General features: G+C 51.7%; 1 protein-coding gene across 22 annotated transcripts in view, besides 1 other annotated feature; it reads right to left on the reverse strand.

The window, feature by feature from the left end:
• The window catches only part of RASAL1 (RAS protein activator like 1), a 37,479-nt gene that overhangs the window by 1,036 nt on the left and 14,532 nt on the right, over positions 1-21,911 (reverse strand). For 5 of the 22 annotated variants that reach the window (XM_047429676.1, NM_001193520.2, XM_005253950.5 and 2 more), the window contains 16 exons: positions 21,196-21,325; positions 19,049-19,130; positions 18,815-18,946; positions 16,760-16,848; positions 15,621-15,738; positions 15,322-15,475; positions 14,887-14,951; positions 14,487-14,599; positions 11,773-11,965; positions 7,772-7,912; positions 6,784-6,928; positions 5,401-5,573; positions 3,848-3,985; positions 3,633-3,768; positions 1,576-1,696; positions 315-367 (listed from right to left, as the gene is read on the reverse strand). In XM_047429676.1, coding sequence (XP_047285632.1) covers positions 315-367; positions 1,576-1,696; positions 3,633-3,768; positions 3,848-3,985; positions 5,401-5,573; positions 6,784-6,928; positions 7,772-7,912; positions 11,773-11,965; positions 14,487-14,599; positions 14,887-14,951; positions 15,322-15,475; positions 15,621-15,738; positions 16,760-16,848; positions 18,815-18,946; positions 19,049-19,130; positions 21,196-21,325 — 1,983 coding nt within the window. Of the gene's footprint in view, positions 1-314; positions 368-1,575; positions 2,779-3,632; positions 3,769-3,847; positions 3,986-5,400; positions 5,574-6,783; positions 6,929-7,771; positions 7,913-11,772; positions 11,966-14,486; positions 14,631-14,886; positions 14,952-15,321; positions 15,476-15,620; positions 15,739-16,759; positions 16,849-18,814; positions 18,947-19,048; positions 19,131-21,195; positions 21,326-21,911 lie in introns of those variants that run through there. The other 17 variants (NM_001394082.1, NM_001394083.1, NM_001394084.1 and 14 more) reach the window with 13 other exon arrangements.
• Positions 19,942-20,142: a silencer, noted in NCBI's record as "peak1969 fragment used in MPRA reporter construct". NCBI's record gives its function as "represses an SCP1 promoter by STARR-seq MPRAs in K562 erythroleukemia cells {active_cell/tissue: K562}" and the evidence as "EXISTENCE:reporter gene assay evidence [ECO:0000049][PMID:32103011]".

Below are 21,911 nucleotides of genomic sequence, written 5' to 3' on the forward strand. Positions count from 1 at the left end.
GTGGAGGCAGAGTCTTGCTGTGTTGCCCAGGGTGCAGTGCAGTAGCATGATCTCAGCTCATTGCAACCTCCACCTCCTGGGCTCAAGCAATTCTCATGCCTCAGCCTCCCCAGTAGCTGGGATCACAGGTGTGCACCACCACGCCCGGCTAATTTTTAAATTTTTAGTAGAGACAGGGTTTCACCATGTTGGCCAAGCTGATCTCGAACTCCTGACCTCAAGTGATCCACCCACCTCGGCCTCCCAAAGTGCTGGGATTACAGGTGTGAGCCACTGCACCCAGCCTTTACCTTCTGAGGTACAGGAGCCCTTACCTGTGTCTGCCTCCAGAGTTGTATCCATGTTAGAATCCTCCAGTAATTTCAGCCTGGAAGGTAAGAGGGAGAAAGACAAGTCTGGTCCCTGATTCCCATTCCTGCTTCCTACCCCAGAAATTCTCTGAGAAATTAGTTTTCCTGAACCATCACCATCACCATCTACCATCATCATCATCATCATCTACACAGCAAACATTTCTAGAGTGCCAGATACTATTCTAAACCTTTTACATGTATTAACTCATTTAATTATCATGACAAACTCATATGAGGTAGGTATTTACTATTAGCTCCATTATACAGATGATCACTGAGACACAGAGAGGTTAGGTAACTTGCTTAAGGTCACACAGCATCAGCAGCAGCATCATTATCACTTATTGAAAGCTAACTATCTGGCCAGGCACCTACAAAGTGCTCTACCTGTATTAGCTCATTTGATCCTCAGGACAACCCACGAGGTCGCCACCATTATTATCCCCCTTTTCCAGATGCACTGGTTGGGTGCAGTGGCTCATGCCTGTAATCCCTGCACTTTGAGAGGGCAAGGCGAGACAGGTGGATCACTTGAAGTCAGGAACTGGAGACTAGCCTGGCCAACATGGTGAAACCCCGTCTCTACTAAAAATACAAAAACTAGTCAGGCGTGGTGGCAAGTGCCTGTAATCCTGGCTATGTGGGAGGCTGAAGCAAGAGAATCGCTTGAACCCAGGAGGCAGAGGTTGCAGTGAGCCAAGATCATGCCACTGCACTCCAGCCTGGGCAACAGAGCCAGACTCTGTCTAAGTAAATAAATAAATAAATTTTTTTAAAAAGAGATCACACAGCTAGTAAGTGGCCAGGTCACGATTTGAACCCAGACAGGTCAGCTTCAGAACCCACTCTATAATGAGTTGGGACAAATCTCTGTCACCAAATAACAGTGATAGTGATCCTCATGCCAGGAAGGGGAAGAGATCTATCCAAGGTCATTTAGCAAGCGCAGGGGGCCAGGATTTTATGTGAATTGTGCCAGGGTCTCTGGAGCTCCAGGTATTAAAAGATCCCAAGACCCAGTTCTGCATAAGGGACCCCTCCCACTGAGGATGCTTCCCAAGCCCTGACTGTGTAGACACCCAGTCCCCACCCTGGGCCAGGCCCCCGGGGAATATCCACCAACACACATGGGAAGAATGAATAAATGGACACAGCAAGGCCACGGTGGGGGGCTGGCCTGGCTGGTCATAGGAGGTGAAGTGGGATGGGTGGGGGCACCCACCTGAGCTGGTCCCGCCCCAGGAGCAGCTGCCGATACACTGTCTGGGCCTCAGCATCAGGATCCAGTGGGTCACTCCAGTCCCCCAGGGTGACAGCTGAGTGTGTACGGCTGCAGCCGGCGGCTGAGGGAACACAGCTTCATTCATCAGTAACTCCCTCTCCCCTTCCAGAAGCCTCCACAGCCAGGCATTCGCCAAGCCGTGCTCCTTCTTCCTGTAAAATCCCTCCTCAAACCTACTACTTCTAGGCCACACACGGTGGCTCATGCCTGTAATCTCAGCACTTTTGGAGGCTGAGATGGGAGGATCACTCGAGCCCAAGAGTTCAAGACCAGCCTGGGCAACATAGTGAGACCTTGTCTCTACAAATAATTTAAAAATTACCCTTGGGTCTGGAGCGGTGGCTCACGCCTGTAATCCCAGAACTTTGGGAGGCCAAGGTGGGTGGATCACCTGAGGTCAGGAGTTTCAGACCAGCCTGGCCAATGTGGTGAAATCCCATCTCTACTAAAAATACAAAAATTAGCCAGGCGTGGTGGCTCATGCCTGTAATCTCAGCTACTTGGGAGGCTGAGGCAGGAGAATCTCTTGAACCTGGGAGGCACAGATTGCAGTGAGCTAAGATTGCACCAGTGCATTCTAGCCTGGGCAAAAGGGTGAGACTCCATCTCACACACACACAAAAATATTAGCCTCACATGGTGGCACGTCTGTGGTCCCAGCTACTTGGGAGGCTGAGGTGAGAGGACTGCTTGAGCCCAGGAGTTTGAGGCTGCAGGGAGCCATGATTGCACCACTGCACTCCAGCCTGGGCAACAGAGACTCTGTCTCAAAAACAAAAATAAAAAAACCCACTACTTCCGTTGAATCTTACATCCTCCACTCTCATCCAGCCCCACTTCTGCTCCCCAGACTCTAGCAGTAGCCTCGCCTCTCCCGGTACTCCTCCCTCATTCTAGGCTCCAGTCACACAGACCCTTTTCCATCCGTCAGCCTACCTTGTCCCAACCTCTAGGCCTTTGCTCATGACACCTGCAACACTTCCTTACCCCCATCTCCCAGTTCTGTCTCCAATGCCGCTGCTTAACTTCTGCTCTACTCAGGTCACATTTAAGCAGCACCTCCTCCAGGAAGCCCTCCTTGAGTCCCCATCCTGAGGCTGGGTCAGAGGCATCCACTGGAATCTCAAACGTCTCATCTTGGCACTTATAACATTGTATTACATTGTTATACATTGTAATACATCATTATATATTGTATATACATTGTTAATAACAATGTCATTATTTTATATATTATTTTATATATATTTTATATATATTATATATTATTTTATATAATAACAATGTTATTATTTACAATGTTATACATTGTAATACATTGTTATACATTGTATATACATTGTTAATAACAATGTATAACATTGTATTAACAAAAGGCCGGGCACGGTGGCTCAGGCCTGTAATCCCAACACTTTGGGAGGCCGAGGAGGGCTTATCACCTGAGGTCAGGAGTTCGAGACCAGCCTGACCAACATGGGGAAACCCCGTCCCTACTAAAAATACAAAAATTAGCTGGGTGCAGTGGTACGCACCTATAAACCCAGCTAGTCAGGAGGCTGAGGCAGGAGAATCGCTTGAACCCGGGAGGCAGAGGTTGCAGTGAGCCGAGGTTGTGCCACTGCACTCCAGCCTGGGCAATAGAGTGAGACTCTGTCTCAAAAAAAAAAAAAATTATTGGGTTATGCACTCATCTTTCTTGAGAACAAGCTCATGATGTTTGAGTACCACTGGATGCTGGCACCTAGTGAGTACTTTAGAAATAACACGTCGCATACGCCAAGCAGCGTCCTATGCTCTTTGTGTAAATCAAGTCATTTAATTATCACAACTCCACGAGATAGGCACTGTTATCAACCTCATTTCACAGTTGAGGAGACTGAGGCATAGAGAGGTTGAGTAACTTGCCCAAGGTTGCACAGCCAGCCCAGGCGGAAGTGGGACACCCGCTGATTGACGGGTGGGGAGGGCGGAGCCTGCAGTCCGCCCTGCCCCCTCACCTGAGCGCTCAGCCTGGAGGCAGCAGGTCCAGCGCGCGCTGCGGAAGGCACCGGGGTGGCAGGCGGCCAGCTTGTTCGGGTTGGGGGCGCTGGCCTTGCGCAAGGCCGAGAGCCACTGGTTGAGCTCATTCACATTCTGCAGCGGGTGGGAGGCGATCAGGGGGCGGGTGGGAACAGAGGGACGCCCCCCGCTCCCCATCGCGGTGGGGTCTCACCTTGCACTGGAGGTAGGTGGTGTGCAGCGCCCCCGTGCCGTCCTGCGTCACCACCTGCATCACGTGGGGCAGTTGGAAGGCGCCCTCGTCTACGCGCTCCACGGCGCGGATGTGAGACACGGGGATGGAGTGACACATCTGGGGAAGAGGATTGTCGCTGCAGGATGGGCTGGGGGCTAGGGCCGGGGTGGGGACACCTTCCGTCTGGTTGTGTGCAGCAGGTGGAGTCAGTTCCCAGCGGCGGGACATTCAACCCTGTAAGTCTGTGCTCTGTGTGCTCGTCCATCCATCCATGTGAGCTGTTCCATGAGTCCTGCCCTATCCCCTTTTATTTTTTTAATTTTTATTTATTTATTTTTTTAACAGAGTCTCGCTCTGCCGCCCAGGCTGGAGTGCAGTTGCACGAGCTGGCCTCACTGCTACCTCCGCCTCCCAGGTTCAAGCGATTCTCCTGCCTCAGCCTCCCAAGTAGCTGGGATTACAGGCGTGCACCACCGCTCCCGGCTAATTTTTGTATTTTTAGTAGAGACGGGGTTTCACTATGTTGGCCAGGCTGGTCTCGAACTCCTGGCCTCAAGTGATCTGCCCACCCCGGCCTCCCAAAGTGCTGGGATTACAGGCATGAGCCACCGTGCCCAGCCACCTCTCTAAGTGACAACTTCTCTGGGCATCCATTTCCTTGTTAATAATAACTACCACTTCTATGGTACTTGGGACGCGATTCCAAGCACTTTACATTGATCAACTTATTTAATTATCACAACAAACTTCTGGGGTTGGTTCTGTTATTCTCTCCAACCTGCAGATGAGAAAACTGAGGTGCAAGAGGATAGATGACGCTTCCAAGGTCACTCATTGGGTGGACCCAAAATTGGAACCCAGAGAACTGACCCCTAGAATCTCCATTCTTCTGATAAAATAGAAACAGGAAGCGTGGGCTCCCTTCTCAGCGTTAGCCGTCATCATCTACTGGTGTGCACACAGCTCCCCATTCGGGAGATTCCAGCACGTGTCTCGGGGCATTCTAGTCATGAACGCCAGCCCCACAAGGGCAGGATTTTCACCTGTCTTGTTCACTTCTGTATCTCCAGTGCCTAGGACACTGGCACATAATAGGCACTCAATAAATGTTTGCTGAATGAATGAACGAGTGAATGAATGCTTGGATGGATGTGCCTGAACATCTGCACACGTTCCTAGTGAACACATTCAATTTTATGAGTCTGTCTAGCATGTGTCTAGATCCTGGTGGGAGCATTGGAGAGAGGCTCAGCATCATCCCTGTCCTGTGTGCATCCACATCTGGGAGGCGTATCCCCGCCACCGCATGTGCACATTCTGAAGGATGCATGATGGTGCCTGTCCATGTCCTGTGCCCACATTGGCCTGAACTTGTGAGCAGAGCCTGTCCTGAGAGTTTGTCGTTGTTAAGTTGCTATGGCATCTTGGGGCCTTGCCCCACTGTGGGCCTCAGTTTCCCCCTGGGTACAAAGAGGCAGCACACTGAAAAAGGCCACCCCTGGAAAGCCCTCCATAGTGGACTGGAACCCCACCTGCCACTCAGGACTCTTGGAGAAGGAGAGGGTCTCCCCGCTGAGCCAGACGTAGCGCTTCTTGAAGGCAAAGCGCGTGGCCAGGCCGGCAGGCTCCTCCTTGCGCTTCAGCAGATAGCCTTCTCGAACAATGGCCGAGGGCGGGAACAGGGCCCTGGCTGGGACACCAGCTTCTAGGAGATGGGAGAAGAGAGCGGTGGACAGTGAGCCCTCCCTAACCAGGCTCACCTTGCTCCACTAGCATGCCCAGGGAGGACCTCAGTGGACGGGCATGGTTCTCTGCTCCCCTAGAGGCAGGAGGATGAGCGCGATGACTTCAGACCACTCCCTCAATAGGGGATGCAATCATGGAGGCTGGGAGGAGGGGGAGGGCAGAGTAGCCCTTGAAGACCTCTCTCCAACCAGAGAAATCTGCAGACAGTATGCAGGCAGCCAGCAGGGGCAGCCACACCCTATGGGGTCCCATCCAGGCAATGTCCAGCATTTAATCATGCTCAGGGAGCCAGGACACAGCCCCGCCACCCCACCCCAGCACCATAGGGACCCCACCATGCCACAGCCAGGTTCTACGTTCTGACAGGTTGCTTCAATGGGACTGGGATCCAACTAGGTTATGACCTGAGCCCCACATTATGGTATGGACTCAACCACAACTTTCCTGCTACAAATCATCCTGTGATTCTGTTTCACTCCAAGTCAAAGCTAAAATTCTTCCCAAGGCCTATGAGGCCCCACAGGATCTGGCCCCCTCACCTCTCTGGCCTTGCCTCTTTGCCTCCCCACTGCCCCCAGTTCACTCTTCTTCACGGGTGTCCTCAGTGCTGCTCTGTGTCCTACCTCAGGGCCCTTGCACATGCTGTGCCCTGCCTGGCACACTCTTCCCCAGGATCCTCAAGGCTCTCTAACTTTTCCCTTTCAGATCTCTGTTCTTTCCTCCTTTTTTTTTTCCTTCTTAGCACTTACAGCTCTCTAACATACCACATAACTTGCTTATTTATCTTGCTAATGGCCTGTGGTCCCCAACAAAATAAAAGCTCTGTGAGATCAGATTTTCTCTGTCTTGTTCACTGCTGCATCCCCAGCACCTAGAACTGTGCCTGTTATTTAGTAAGCGCTTAATAGATGTTTGTCAATGGCATGCACACCATGCCACGATCCTGCCCACAGCCATATCCCCACACTGGCTGGGGATGGGCCTGGAGGACAGCACCTGAGCTCTGTTCATCTCTGGGGCCTAGCACAGTAAGTATCAGGAAATGTTAGTTGACTGACCCACAGATTCACATTCTTAGTGCTGAGGAGCTGGAGGGGGAAAGGGGAAGTCCCTGAGTGGTGTCTCAACTGGGCTGAGAAGCCAGATGTGGCCGGACCACAGGAACTCACCTTCATCCCCATCCACATCCACCAGCCGGTCCAGGAAGTCTCTCACACGTGAGACACACTGCAGCAGGAAGGGGTGCAGGGGGGCCATCCACAGTTCCTTGCCTTGGCCCAGCTGCTGGCCCAGGTTTCCAATGCTCTGCACAGCCTGGAGCAAAGAAGCGAGGGATGCCGGGGCCAAGGTCACAGCAGAGGGTAGGGCCCCTCCTGGCTCCCAAATCAGTGCTCAATAAAAGAAGACTCATATTGCCGGGCACAGTGGCTCATGCCTGTAATCCCAGCACTTTGGGAGGCCGAAGTAAGCGGATCACTTGAGGTCAGGAGCTTGTGACGAGCCTGGCCAACATGGTGATACCTCATCTCTACTAAAAATGCAAAAATTAGCTGGTCGTGGTGGCTCACGCCTGTAAATCCAGCTACTCCAGAAGCTGAGGTGGGAAGATCACTTGAACCGAGGAGGCAGAGGTTGCAGTAAGCCAAGATCGTGCCACTGCACTCCAGCCTGGGTGACAGAGCGAGACTTGTCTCAAGGAAAAAAATAAATCAATAAGAAGACTCAACACCTTCCTTGGGTGATGTCTGTTTCCCCTTCCTCTTTTTGGAATCTGCACTCCCCACTAACCTTATTCTGTTCCCTCCCGAGCCCAGATCCTCCCCAAGAACTGCTCAGTCCTACCATGGTACTCTCATGCAGAATCTCAAGTTGTTGCCCTTTGCAAATGATGATCTAATTCATACTAAGGTGTGAATGCCTGCTAGCCTGTTTTCCACTTTCCTTCTGGAAGGGTTGGGTTTTCATTCCCAAAGGGGAAATTGGAGTGCATGATGACTGCCTTCACCCTTGGGATGGAATGCTAACGGTGGTGTTTCAGACTTGGGTTTCTTCGGATGTTCTTTGGGTCTTCTGTGGGTCTGGCCTCCCAGCTCTGCTCCTACCATGCTTTTTTCCCTGGCTAAAGTACCTAGGATGGGGGAAACCCATGGCTGGCACCTTGGCAAGCAACAGCAGTGAGCGGCTAGTCTGGGGGTCCGCGTGTTGGTCCCGAAGGTCAAACAGCTTTGGGGTAAGGATGGCAGGTGCGAAGAATCGCAAGAAGAGAAATCCACTGATGGCCAGGTACTTCACATCCTGCTGGGAGGAGCAGAAGGTAAGAGGAGCCCCCCAAACCCACTTCTCAGCTGCGTAAACTGAGGCAGCAAGGACTAGAAATTCGTGGTGCAAAGAGAAGTAGGATGGGGAATTGACCAGGAAGCCACACCGGCTGGCCGAGGAAGTTTTTCCTCTCTGGGCCTCAGTTTTCTCACCTGGAAAATGGAATAACAAAACCAATCCTACAAAAGCAGATTTGGCCAAATGTCCTCAGAGTTGGCTTTGTGCCAAGCACTATGCCAAGAGCACAGCCCTAAGAGGGAGGCACCATCATGAGTCCCATTTTACAGATGAGGAAGCAGAAGCTCAGAGACATCAAGCGATTTGCCCAGGGTCACACAGCTAATGAGTGGCAAAGTCAGGATTCAAACCCAGACCTGTGATTTATGATAATAACAGCAGCAGGATGGATACCTCTCTATACATTCGCTTATTTAATACTCAACCCAGGAAGGATCACATCTCCATTTTACAGAGGAGGCAACTGAGGCCCAGCAAGGGAAAGTCCCTTGCCTAAGTCTGCACAGCCATAAGCGGCAGAGCCAGGAGTTGGACTTAGGCAGGATTTGATTATTTTTCTTTTTTTTTTCTTTCTTTTTTTTTTTTTTTGAGGCAGAGTCTTGCTCTGTTGTTCAGGCTGGAGTGCAGTGGCACGATCTCTGCTTACTGCAACCTCCACCTCCCAGTTTCAAGTGATTCTAGTGCCTCAGCCTCCCAAGTAGCTGGGATTACAGGCATATGCCACCACACCTGGCCAGTTTTTGTTTTGCTTTTTTTGTTTTTAGGTTTTTTTGTGTGTGTTTTTTTTTTTTTTTTTAGTAGAGATGGGGTTTTACCATGTTGGCCAGGCTGGTCTTGAACTCCTAATCTCAAGTGATCCAGCCGCCTCAGCCTCCCAAAGTCCTAGGATTACAGGCATAAGCCACCTCGCCCAGCCAAGGATTTGAACTCTCTGTTCTTCACCACACTCTCCTGCCATTCAACACCAGCTACCAAGGAGCCCTCACTAAGTATTAGAAACCAAGCCTGAACTATCACATTTAGTCCTCAAACAACTCCATGTGGGTAGGTAAGTGCTATTATCCCATTTTTTCAGATGAGGAAACTGAGGCTCAGTAGTGAACCCAGTCTGATGGGCTCCAGAGTCCATCCTGTGTGCACCTCCCCACCTCCAACCTCTGCCCTCTACAAACTGTAGAGTATGGTTCCCCTCCATGTGAATCCGGGGCCTGGCCCATCTAAAGGTAACGCTGGTTCCCCAGCACCAGCAGAGGTGACTCAGGGAAGGGTGCCCCTCCATCCTGGGTGCATCTTGCTCCCCCCAAACCAGCTCCCCACCCACCTCTCACACTTGCCAGGCTATATTTAGCCTGAGAGTCTGCGCCTGTGTTTATTCAGAGGTTGTAGTCACACATGAAACAATGCCCTCCCCGGGGCGTGTGCCACCTTCCTGGGGCATCTTGGCCTTGGCAGTGACCCCTGTAGGAGCTGGGTACCTAGAACTGCCCAGAGGGAGCATCTTCCCCTCCATCTGGAGCCCTGAACTGTCCCCCTCCATCTGGAGCCCTGAACTGTCCCACCACTACCCCACTGCCATCTGTAGTCCAGGGTAATTTCAGTCTTCACATCAGCTCATTTGTTTCCTCCTTTTTGAAGGCAAAGAACCGGTGTCAGTGCAGCAGAGAAAGGGGCTTCCCTGGGTTCCCCGGGCCGGAGGAAGTCCCTGCTCCAGGGCCACCTTGGGGGCTGAGAACTAGAGGACACTTGGGTGTCACTGATATTGGCTCACCATACGAGGTCTAGGCTGTCTGGGGAGCTGGCCTCCTCCCTTTCTTCCCTGTTCCCTGCCACAGCTGTGCCCCACTTAACACCTCTGCTGGCAGCCCAGGTGAGAGCCCAGCAAGGTGAGGTGTAAGCCAAGCTACATCCCAGTCTCAAGGCCCAGAGCTTACTCCTCAGCTGGGGAGGAGGGGGAGGAGGGGAGAGACCCCAGCTGGGAGTCTAGAAAACCCTTGGCCAAGTGTTTTGCCTCTCTGGGCCTCAGTTTCCCCATCTGTAAACAGGAAGTGGAGAGAGATGTGGCATAAATCAAAAGCTCTCAAATGAGGCTGTAGGAAGTGGGTTACGACATTGCCAAAATGTAACAGGTCTTAGGTCTTTCTGCAAAGTGAATCCTGGTCTGATACATCAGCACTACGTAAGAGTTCATCTCACCTGATGTTATCTGCAAGTGAGGACAATGACAGCCACCTCGGGAGGTGTGCTGAGCATTCAACCAGGGGGTCCCAAACTGGCCAGTCCAACCACAAATGTTTTGTAATGCATGACCCAAAGTGTTTTTGTGTGTTTGGTTTTCAGGTGAATTCATGCTGACATTTTAAAAATAAGAGATCAGGCCGGGCGCGGTGGTTCACGCCTGTAGTCCCAGCACTTTGGGAGGCTGAGGCAAGGGGACTGCTTGAGGCTAGGAGTTCGAGACCCTCTGGGCAACACAGTGAGACCCTGTCTCTAGAAAAATAAATAATTAGCTGGGTGTGGTGGTGCACCCCTCTAGTCCCAGCAACTCGGGAGGCTGAGGTGGGAAGATCACTCAAGCCTGGGATAGAGGCTGCAGTGAGCTATGATTGTGCCACTGCACTCCAGCCTGAGCAACAGAGCAAGACCCCGTCTCAAAAGTTAGTAATAAGTAAATAAATAAATAACCTCACATAAAATCCAGAATCTCTAAAGATCTGGCAGTACTGGGCTTCCATTCCTATATGGCAGTGATCCCCTGGAGCTGCCCCCTTTAGACAAGATCTGGGGGCTTCAGTTGGCCACAGTCTTCATGTCTCCCTACCACCCCACGCGCTGCTTGCTTTGTTCTTGCGCCTCGTCTGCCTGAAACTCACAGCATCTGAGTTTTCAACTTTTCTATCCATGTTGGTATAGCACTACACCTGCAGGGATTCATTTTTAGACTTTATTCTGGGTGTTTCTGAGCACTTACTGTATGCCAGATCTGCGTTCTTCTCTCTTACTTCCTCTCTCTCTCTCTATTTTACATCTGGAATTTCAAGAAGCACTTACTTTGTGCCAGACTCTATTATTTGCTGGTTATGAGCACAGACTCAGGAGCCAGCCTGCCTGGGTGAGTGCCAGTCCCAATATCACTCCTTTCTACCTGTGTGACTTAAGCTCTCTGGGCCTCAGTTTCCTCCTCCGTAAAATGGGAATAATCCTGGTATCCACCTCACAGGCTGCGTGTGATGGTTAGATAGGGTAATAAATACATAAATCACCTAAAACAAGATATGGACCATGGTCAGGCTACATAGAGTGTTAGCTGCCATTATTATATTTATTATTGGTATTTATTTGTTTATTTTGAGACAGAGTCTATCTCTGTCACCCAGTCTGGAGTGCAGTGGCGCAATCTCGGCTCACTGCAACCTCTGTCTCCTGGCTTCAAGCGATTCTCCTGACTCAGCCTCCGGAGTAGCTGGGATTACAGGTGTGAGCCACCATGCCCAGTTAATTTTTGTATTTTTAGTAGAGACAGGGTTTCATCATGTTGGCCAGGCTGGTCTCGAACTCCTCACTTCACTTGAAAGTGATCCACCCTCCTCGGCCTCCCAAAGTGCTGGGATTACAGGCGTGAGCCACTGCGCCCGGCCTATTTTTATTATTACTATCATTCTTGGGACCCGGACCCTGCCAGGAACGCTGTCCCCACTTCTGCCAGGACAGAATGCTCTAGTGCCGGCAGCCTAGGTTCTGGTCACAGTTCTGTCCTGACTCCTCCGAGTGACCCCGGACAAGCTCCGGCCTGTCCCCAGCCTCAGCCTCCCATCCTGGCGCACCTGGTGCTCGGCCTGGGGGAAGCGCTCCTCCACTCGCCGGTGCAGCTGCTTGAAGGCGAGGCGCATGGCGGGCGGGCAGCGCCCCACGGAGCCCACGATGGCGTCCACGATGGGCCCCAGGTAGCCCGTCAGCAGCCCCAGGCTGGTCTCCCGCATCTGCTCCTCCGAGAGTGCGCCTTTGAAGGAGATCCTCCTGGAGGGGCCGGCGGAGCAGCTCAGCCTCGGGGCACAACATCTGCCTGCTCCAAACCCTCCACCGGCCCCGCTGAGCTCCGAGAGGACTCATCTTCCCTCCACGTCCGCAGCCTCCTTCCTGCCCCTTCCCACCGGGTTTCTTGCTGTTGCTTAAACACGATGAGCTCATTCCCATCCTGCAGCCTTTGCACTGGCTTATCTCCGTGCCCAGAACACTCTCCCGTTAAATGTTAAATCTCCGCAACACTCCCTTCCTCACCCCCTGCAAGTCTTTGCTTAGATGTCCCCTCCCCTGCGAGGCTGCCCCTGTCCTCACCCTCTGGAATATTGCAGGCCTCTCCCCTCCCTCGTTTATTCCATTCCCTGGTCCCATTCAATAACCTTTTCCCAACCAGGCCCGGTGGCTCATGCCTGTAATCCCAGCACTCTGGGAGGCCGAGGGGGCAGGTCACTTGAGACCAGGAGTTCAAGACCAGCCTGGCCAACATGGTGAAACTCCATCTCCACCAAAAAATACAAAAATTAGCCCAGCGTGGTGGTGCACGCCTATAATCTCAGCTACTTGGGATGCTGAGGCAGGAGAATCGCTTCAATATGGGAAGTGGAGGTTGCAGTGAGTCGAGATCGCACCACTGCACTGCAGCCTGGGTGACACAGCGAGACTCCATCTCAAAAAATAAATAAATAAATAAATAAACCTTCTTCCTCCAGTTGCTCATTATCTGTCTCCCCCCAGAATAGGGACTTGGGACTATTTGTTCCCTACTGTATCGTCAGTGTTCAGCCCAGAGCCTGGCACTCAATCATTGTTTTGTTTTGTGGATGCTAGAACAGCACTTTTCCATCTGCAATTATTGTGTTCCTTTCTTTCTTTACAGATTGAGGGTCTGTCTTGCCCACACCTAGAGTGACAGCTGGGGGTTCTCAGCCCCACTGTGTCCTGGACCCAACGTGCTGAGCCCTGGACTTGTCTCTGGCATGGTCTCTTTTAATCCTAACAGCAACTTGATGGGGTAAGTAGCCTTACTTGTTCCCGTTTAACAGATAAGAAAACTGAGGCTCAGAGAGGTTACTGGGGAGATGGCACAGCTGAGAATAGAACCCAGGACTGCCAACTCCACAGCCTGCCTGCAACCCTGCCCTGTCCAGGTCCCTACATGCCCCTGTCCCCATGGGTGCCCACTGAGTTTCCTCCATCGTTATCAAGTGTGCTAGGAAAAGCCCTCAACTTGGAGTCTCACAGATGGACTGTGTCCTTCTGCTCAGGGCCTGGGATCAAATCCTTGCTCTGTAATTTCCTGGCTGTATGACCTTAGGCAAGTGACCTTCCCTCTCTGAGGCTCAGTTGCATCATCAGTAAGAGGGGGTCATGATGCCTGCCTCTAAAGTAGTCAGAAGGTGTGGACAGCACAAGGAAAGATCCTCTCCTGTCTCTGCCACGGTCCCCAGTGGATACCCCAGCAACAATTTTCCACAGCTCCAGGCTTGTGGGTTAGACAGGAGAAGGTTCTGGAGAGAAAGGAGGAGCCCACGGAGGGGTGGAATGACCCCCAGCCACTGCTCTGCTTCCTCCCAATCTCATTGAGCTCTCCACGATCTCCCTTGCAGGCAGGCCCACTCAGAGACCGCCAACACCACAATAATAAAAATCGCTAATGTTGGGGACCCCCAGCAGCACAGCAGTAAATATCACTAATGTCGAGGAGCCCCAGCAGCACAGTAATAAAGATCACTAATGCTTGTGGAGCACATGCATGACTCAGTTAACGGAGCAGAGGTCATGAGCCCCACGTTTCAGGTGATAATATTCTCACCAGCTGGATAAGGGACATTTTAGAAGTAGTGTGTGCATTAAGTAGAAGAACATTGGATCAATATTTTAGGTTTTTTAATTTTAAAAAATCTGATTATGCCAGGCACGGTTGTTCACGCCTGTAATCCCAGCACTTCGGGAGACCAAGGCAGGAGGATTGCTTGAGCCCAGGAGTTCGAGACCAGCCTGGGCAATGTGGCAAAACCCTGTCTCTGCTAAAAATGTAAAAACTTAGCTGGGCATGGTGGTGTGCGCCTATAGTCCCAGCTACTCAGGAGGCTGAGGTGGAAAAATTACCTGAGCCCGGGAAGTTGACGCTGCAGTGAGCTGTGGTCACACCACTGCACCCCAGCCTGGGTGACAGAGTAAAACCTTGTCTCAAAAAAAAAAAAAAAAGAAAAAAAGGAAAAGAAAAGAAGCAACTTAACCACTGAGGAACAGAAGTTTTGGCAACTTTGTCCACCAGTAGTGGCAAAGCTAAGATTTGAACCCAGGGCGCTTAGCATCAGAGTCCTGACCATAACCCCTATACTACACAGCCTGATGGTTTAAGGGCTTGTGTGTGAGGCTTTCAGCTCAGCCACCGAGCTCCTGAGCAGCTGTAGCCCCAGGGTGGGTGGCAGTCAGCATGAACCCAGCCCCCAGACAAGGCTCCGGGTAGCCAAAGGGGCCCGTCGGAAGGTCAGGGTCCTCAGGCTTTGCTCACCGGGTGCGGCCCAGGTCCATCTTGCAGGGATCCAGCTCCATGTACTTCTTCTCCTCAAAGACACGGCTAATCACAGGCTTCAGGACCTCGTGCAGGTAGGGCATGCCCACGAGCTGGGGGCAGGGGGCACCACACGGGGTGGGGCTGAGGGCGAGGCCGGGGCATGCCCATGAGCTGGGCGCAGGGGGGACCATGCAGGAAGAGGTTCAGAGAGAGGCCAGGGCTGGGGTAGGGGACACATCCAGGTGCAACTCAGGGCAAGGCCGGGCACCAGCCGCCAGCACTGCAGCTCGGCTGCTCAGTGCTGTCTGAAGCCAGCTAAGTGAGGGAGCCAGGTAGGCACTGGGAAGGAGGTACCCGAGGAAGCTGCGCCTGGTCCCGCAGGCCTTCACCTACTCACCTTCATAAACTGTTCCATCGACTTGGATGCCAGGGAGTTAGAACGGAAGAGGGTGTTGGGGTCCACTGGGAGGACAGGAGGAAGTGTTTGCTGGGATTTAGGGAGCTGAACCCAGCTCACCCCACTCACCCAAGGTGGGAGTCATGATTCTTCCAGCCCCAAGAATCAGGAAGACCCAAAACATCAACCCCATTCACAGTACAGAGGCCCGGAGTGGTTAAGTGAATTGCCTGAGGTCACACAGCCCACAAGTAGCAAAGCCAGGGCCTGAACCTGCAATTGGGCTCCCAACTGTCTGGAGGTGCACAGCACAGGGACCCACAGAAAAAGGAGCCCTTTTTCCCTCTGCCTGAGGCCTCCCCATTCCTCCCCCAGGACCCTCCTGCAAGCCCACCATTGAGGGCGGTGATGTCGGGGGTTGTGCGGGCAACTCACTGGTCCGAGCCACCTCACGCCGGGTGAGATAGTCCAGAAAGCGCCCAGCCAGTCCCCGGCCAAGAAAGAGTTTCACCAGCTTGGTGGCAAGGTCCTGGCGGCAGTCCCCCAAGGTCAGCTCTTCCAGCAAAGCCAAGGGGCTAGCAGTGTCCTCCTGGGTGGGGGCGGGAGACAAAGATGACCTCGGCCCCTGGGACCCCAAAGCAGATGGGCCTAGATAGGGCTCCGTGAGGCAGGGGGAGGCCAGGATCCAGACCCCCGGCACCCGCCTGATAGCATTGCTTGCCTGACGCACCCACCTCTGCTGGCCCCTGCACAGACTCCATGAGCAGCTCCATGAGAGGCTGGTAGCACTGGGAGGGCAGGACGCGGTCCTCAATCAGGCGTACCTTCACTCGCAGGGCACCCAGGTTCCCCCTGTCCAGGATCAGATCATAAGAAAATGAAAGATCTGGCCGAACACGATGGCTCACGCCTGTAATCCCAGCATTTTGGGAGGCCAAGGTGGGCAGATCACTTGAGGTCAGCAGTTTGTGACCAGCCTGACCAACATGGTGAAGCCCCATCTCTACTAAAAATACAAAAATTAGCCGGGCGTGATGACACACGCCTGTAGTCCCAGCTACTCAGGAGGCTGAGGCAGGAGAATTGCTTGAACCTGGCAGGCAGAGGTTAAGATTGTGCCGCTGCACTCCAGCCTGCGTGACAGAGCGATACTCTGTCTAAAAAAAAAAAGAAAGAAGGAAAAGAAAATGAAAGATGCCCTTATGGAAGAGCACAAGTGCGCATGGGCAGGTGTGGAGAGCCAAGAGAGGCCAATGGGAACACATGGGAGGAGGGCAGGTGTTTGCAAAACAAGACAGGTGTAGGCAGGTATAGACAAGTGTGGACAGGTATGAACAGGGGTAGGCAGCTGTGAACAGGCATAAATAGGAATGTATACAAACAACATAAACAGGCAGGTGTGGCCAGAGTGGATAGATGTGGCCAGTGTACACAAATATGTACAGGATGTGTGGACAAGTGTAGATGATTGTTGACAGTGTGAACAAGCATGGACAGGTGTGTATAGGTGCGGCCAGTATAAACAGGTGTGAAATGATATTGATGGGTATAAACAGGACAGGCAAGTGGAGATGGTATAAACAAGTGTGTTCAAGAATGAACAGTATGGAGAGGTGTGGAAGGACCCAAAGTTCTAAATATACATCAAGTGTGAACCAACATGTTTGCACATGAACAGGTGAACGGGTGTAAAGTGAACTTATGTGGATTTATGTAAACACCTTGAGAGACATTCCATAGACAGTTGTTAAATGGATGAATGCATGAAGTGGCATAGTGATAATGTGTGGGCTGGCATGGGCTCTGCCCGCAAGCTGTGGATGCTGCCCGGCATGGCTCCAGCCTGGCCCCCTCCCTCTGCACCCACATTTACCCAGAATCCTCCTCGGCTCTGGGAAAGGGCAGGAGGCGGAACCAGCCTTTAGGTGGCTTCTGCTGGAGGGTCTTTGGAGAGAACTCCACCTTTTGAGAGAGACACACAGACCCTCAGCCGGGCCCTGGCCTGCCCTGCCCTGCCTGGCTCAGGTCTCACCTAGCCCTGGAAGAACAGACTGCCCACCCACAGAGGGGCAGAATGGCCTGCCAGGGGACCCCTCCTTCTCTCCTACAAGTCCCAAATTATTAGCTCCTGCCAGGACACTGAGGGCTTCTGAGGGCCTACCAGGGACACTTAATTTACAGTTGAGGAAACTGAGGCTCAGCGATGTGGAGTGATTTGCCCAAGGTCACACAGCTGCTAGAGATAGCATGTCTGGACTGAGTGTATTTTCAGCTCTGTTTAGGGACATAAATTTCTTCTATCAAAAGGCATAAGGACAGCCCTGGAGGGACCCAAGCCCCACACTCTCTCTCTTTTTAAATAACTTTATAGAGACGTAATTCACATCCTAAACAATTCACCTTTTAAAAGTGTACAATTCAATGATTTTTAGTATATTCACAGACTTACCGCAATTAGTTGTGCCGCTGATTCCAGAACATTGTCTATGAGCCCTAAAGAGCCTGCACTCATTACCAGTCACTTCGTGCCCCCCAGCCCCTGACAACCACGAATCTATTTTCTGTGTCGGTAGATTTGCCTATTCTAGACATTTCGTATAAATGGAATCATATGTGTTTTGCAGGGGCTGGCTTTTTCCACTTAGTGTAATGGTTCATCCACGTGCCAGTACGGTAAGTCCTGACTCATAACGTATAAGGAAATCAAATGTACCATGAGCTAATTACTATAAACAAGAATGAAGGCTGGGTGGGTAGCTCATGCCTGTAATCCCAGCACTTTGGGAGGATGAGGCGGGCAGATCACTTGAGGTCAGGAGTTCAAGACCAGCCTGACCAACATGATGAAACCCTGTCTCTATTAAAAATACAAAAATTACTCAGATGTAGTGGTGTTCACCTGTAACCCCAGCTACTTGGGAGACTGAGGCAAAATAATTCCTTGAACCCAGGAGGTGGAGGTTGCAGTGAGCTGAGTTCATGCCACTGCACTCCAGCCTGGGCAATAGAGGGAGATTCCTTCTAAAAAATAAAAATAAAAAAAATAAACAAGAGTTAAGTTCCTACAGCATACAGTATGTCATTTTGCTTAAGGCTGCAGTTTCCAAGAACCTATGGATGACATTAAATGAGGACTTACTGTACTTCATTCCTTTTTATGGCTGAATAATATTCCATTGTATCGATAGACCACATTTTGTTTATCTATAATGGACACTTGAGTTTTTTTCCATTTTGGGCTGTTATGACTAATGCTGCTATGAACAGTAATGTCAGAGTTTTTGTGTGAAGATAAGTTTTCATTTCTTTGGGGTATGTACCTAAGAGTGGAATTGCTAGGTCATAGAGTAACTCTATCTTTAACTATTTGAGGAAATGCCAGGCTGTCTCCAAAGACAGGGAAACCAAGAGAAAGAACCTGAGCCCAGGACTTCCAGGAGTAGGAGTTAAGGGCGTTAAGTCTGGAGTCAAAGAGATCTGAACTCAGATCCTGGCTCTGCCCTTTCTTAGCCATATGACCTTGAAAAAGCCACTTAGCCTCTCTGAGCCTCAATGTCCCCATCTGTAAAATGCGGATAGCAACAGTCCCAGCCTCATAGGGTAGCCATGAAGGTTAAGTAATGAGGCTCTGTGGGAGGGACACTCAGCACAGGGCCAGCACATAGTCATCTGTCATGCTCTCATCCCAGAATGAGAATCTGGGCCCGTCCTGTGATCTTGGATAGGTTCCTGTACCTTTGACAGCCTCAGTTTCCTCACCTGTACAACAGAGCAATGAAACTGCAACACTCAGGCCTAACCAGGGGAACCTGATGAGGCAGCTGTACATCCACCCTTCTGAGAGCCAGGAGGCTCAGCCCGTCTCATCTTTCTTCCCCCTTGGAGGCACTGGGGAGCCATGGAGGGTATTGTAGGGAATGAGGCTCACCATGCCCAAGAAGTCATTCTTGCCCACCATGTCCCAGTCCCAGAGCTCCACCCGCAGTGGGGACGGGGCACCTGGCATCTCCCGCAGCTCCAGCACTTCATCCCAGTGCGGGAAGCGAGTCTTCTTGATGGTCTGAGGGCGAAGGAAGTGGTCTGTGAGTGGGAGAGCTGATGGGGACTCCTGCCCCACCACCAAATGCCCCACTCCTTCCTGGCTTCATTCCCCACCACTCACTGAGGTCTCCAAGCTCTGGCTGCCCCAAAACACACGTGCAAATGGGTCAGATGTGCCAGAGATGTCTCTGGGAGCCAGGTCCCTGGGAACAGATGGGGAAAGGAGTGAGGAAACACGGCACCCAAGTTGGGCCTTGGAAAGGCTGTTAAGAGTAGATCATTCCAATGTCGCTGGTTTCCAAGGCAACAAACTGTTCCATGTAGGGGTCCAGCTAGGGACACCCCTAACCATGACCGTCCAAACCCAGTATCTTCCTGTCACCACCCTATGGGGAGGCACTTGTATATCCCTATTTTTCAGATGAGGAAACTGAGGCACCAAAAGGTCATATCCTACATCACAAAGCCCAGCAAGTAGAAGTGCAGCAGGGAGGGGGAAAAGAGAGCCTCAGATTCTCTGGAGGCCCCAGATGGGAAACTTGATGCAAAGGTTCAAAGCCTGGCTTTGCACTCATTGGCTAGCGGACACTAGGGAAAGTCACTTCCCCTCTCTAAGTCTTCATTTCCTTACCTGGAAAATGGGAGTAATAACAGACCAACCTCATAGAGCCGAGGGTTAGATTGGATGATGTGTGTAAAGGGCCAAGCATAGCACCTGGCAGGTGATGGGTGCTTGGTTCATTTATTCATTCAACAAACACCCATGCCCACACCTTGTCTAGGACCCAAGAGAAAGCATGAGGCAGGGACTCCTTGCCATTGGTTGCCATGACAACCCAAAAGTCTTACTCCAGGCAGCTTCCCCATCCCTCCTTCTTGACGTTCTCCAAACCCAGGAACACACCACCACCCCACCCCCACACCAGGGGCTGCTTCCTTCTTCCTCCTGCTCCCTTCCCACCCCTGCTTAGCATCCAAAGCCTTCTTCGGTTTCCTAGGAGCTGGCCCAGTTGCTAAGCGACAGCAATCAGTCCCTCTCATGCCTGCAAGGATCCTGCACAGCCTTGTGGCTGAGGAAGGGGCCATGGGCTCAAGGAAGACCAGGAGCCTCTGCCCCCTGCTGAGTCCCTCAGCCTGTCACCTGCCTCCCTGGTTCTCCCTCAACCAGACTCTAGGAAGCCCCAGCTGAGGCCAAGGCTGGAAGCAAAAATCTGGAGGCGGTGGGAGAGGCTCAGAGAGGGCAAGGAAGGGCTTTATGGTCACACAGCAAGCTGGAAATTGGAGGTCCTCCCCAATCTGGGCAGGGATTTTCCTAAAAATGAGAGCTGGGGAGGTGAAAAACAGGCAGAAAAACAGGATGAGAGAGGAGTGGGGGAAGGGTGGAGGTATTTGAGGGAGCAAAATGACAGAGAGCTGAGGAAGGGAAAAAGGGATGGCCATGACAAGTAGGCAAGAGGGAAGATGGGTGTCCCATGAGCTGGTGCCCCTAGAGGGCCACCTGTGGGTTTTCCTGGTCTTGCATCCATCTTCCATCTGATTTTTCTTTGGGACAGGACCTATCTCCTTCTCACCACCCCCCTCTCACATGACTTAGTGGGGTCCAATCCCTCCCTCCGCTCCAGTAATGGGCTTGTGACTCAGGCCTGATCCATTATTCAGTGTAATTGGTTCAGAGATAGACATGTGCCCCAGCTTGAGCCAGTAAAAATTAATCCCAGGACATTGGTTGGAAATGGTAGGAAATAGAAGTGATTTTTCTGTTGGAGTGGCTAAGCTGGCAGGGTGCCCGCCTGGAGTTGCTAGGGCCATCTCTCACCTGGGGAGAGTCTGCCTAAGAATGAAGCTAACACAGAGACCAGCAGAGCTAAAAGACAGATTCCTAATGGCATCGTTTGAACACCTGGACCCAGCCATGCCTGAAGCTACATGTCAGTCATATAAGCCAATAAAGTAGCTCTTTTGCTTAAGCCAGTATGAGTTGGGTATTTGTCAGTTACAATTTAATGACTACACCTCCACACTCACCTGTCACCTGTCATCCTGAGTGTCTGGTCTGTTGCTGCTAGTCCCTGGGGACTCAACAGGATTTTGCCCCCAGGAACTTACAACCCAGTGAGCTTGGACTGTTTGTCCACACAGGGAACCTGACTGCCAGCCCAGAAGTGCCCCAGGACTGAGGAGGTCCCAAACGCCAGGCAGCAGGGGAGACCCAGGGGACTCCTGCTCATTCTCAGACCACCCTCCACACCACCTCCACCTTAAGCATACCTGGCCTGAAGCACATGGCAGCGAAGGCAGCGGCCCTGCCCATCCTCCAGCATCTGCACTGACAGGCAGATCTCACCCTGCACTTCTGCATCTGGGTCCACTCGGCTCAAGTTAATCCAGCTGTCAATCCCTGAAGGGCACAGGCACTAACATTTATGAAGCGCCTACCATGTACTGGGCATTGTGTTAACTTAAAAATTCAATTAACATTATTTTCATTTTTTTTTTTTTGACACAGGGTCTGGTTCTGTTGCCCAGGCTGGAGTGCAGTGGCACAATTTTGGCTCACTGCAACCTCTGCCTCCTGGGCTCAAGCGATTCTCCTGCCTCACCCTCCCGACCAGCTGGGACTTTAGGCGTGCACCACCATGCCTGGATAATTTTTGTGTTGTTCTGTAAAGATGGGGTTTCATTATGTTGCCCAGGCTGGTCTCAAACTCCTGAGATCAAGCGATCCACCCACCTTGGCCTCCCAAAATGCTGGGATTACAGGCATGAGCCACTATGTCCTGCCTCAATTAAAATTAAAAATGTGTCAAGACCCTGGCTTCTGATATAGGTGCTGTAATTATCCCCATTTTCAGATGAGGAAAATGAGGCACAAGGAGAAAGAGTTTTGTCCATGGTCTCACAGCTAGCAAATGGCAGAGCTGGAATTTGAATGCAGGCAGTATAGTTAGTTCTAGGGCCAATGCTCGTAGCCATGTGCCATCACA

This window comes from Homo sapiens, chromosome 12 (assembly GCF_000001405.40).
Source record: "Homo sapiens chromosome 12, GRCh38.p14 Primary Assembly".
Taxonomy (NCBI): domain Eukaryota; kingdom Metazoa; phylum Chordata; class Mammalia; order Primates; family Hominidae; genus Homo; species Homo sapiens.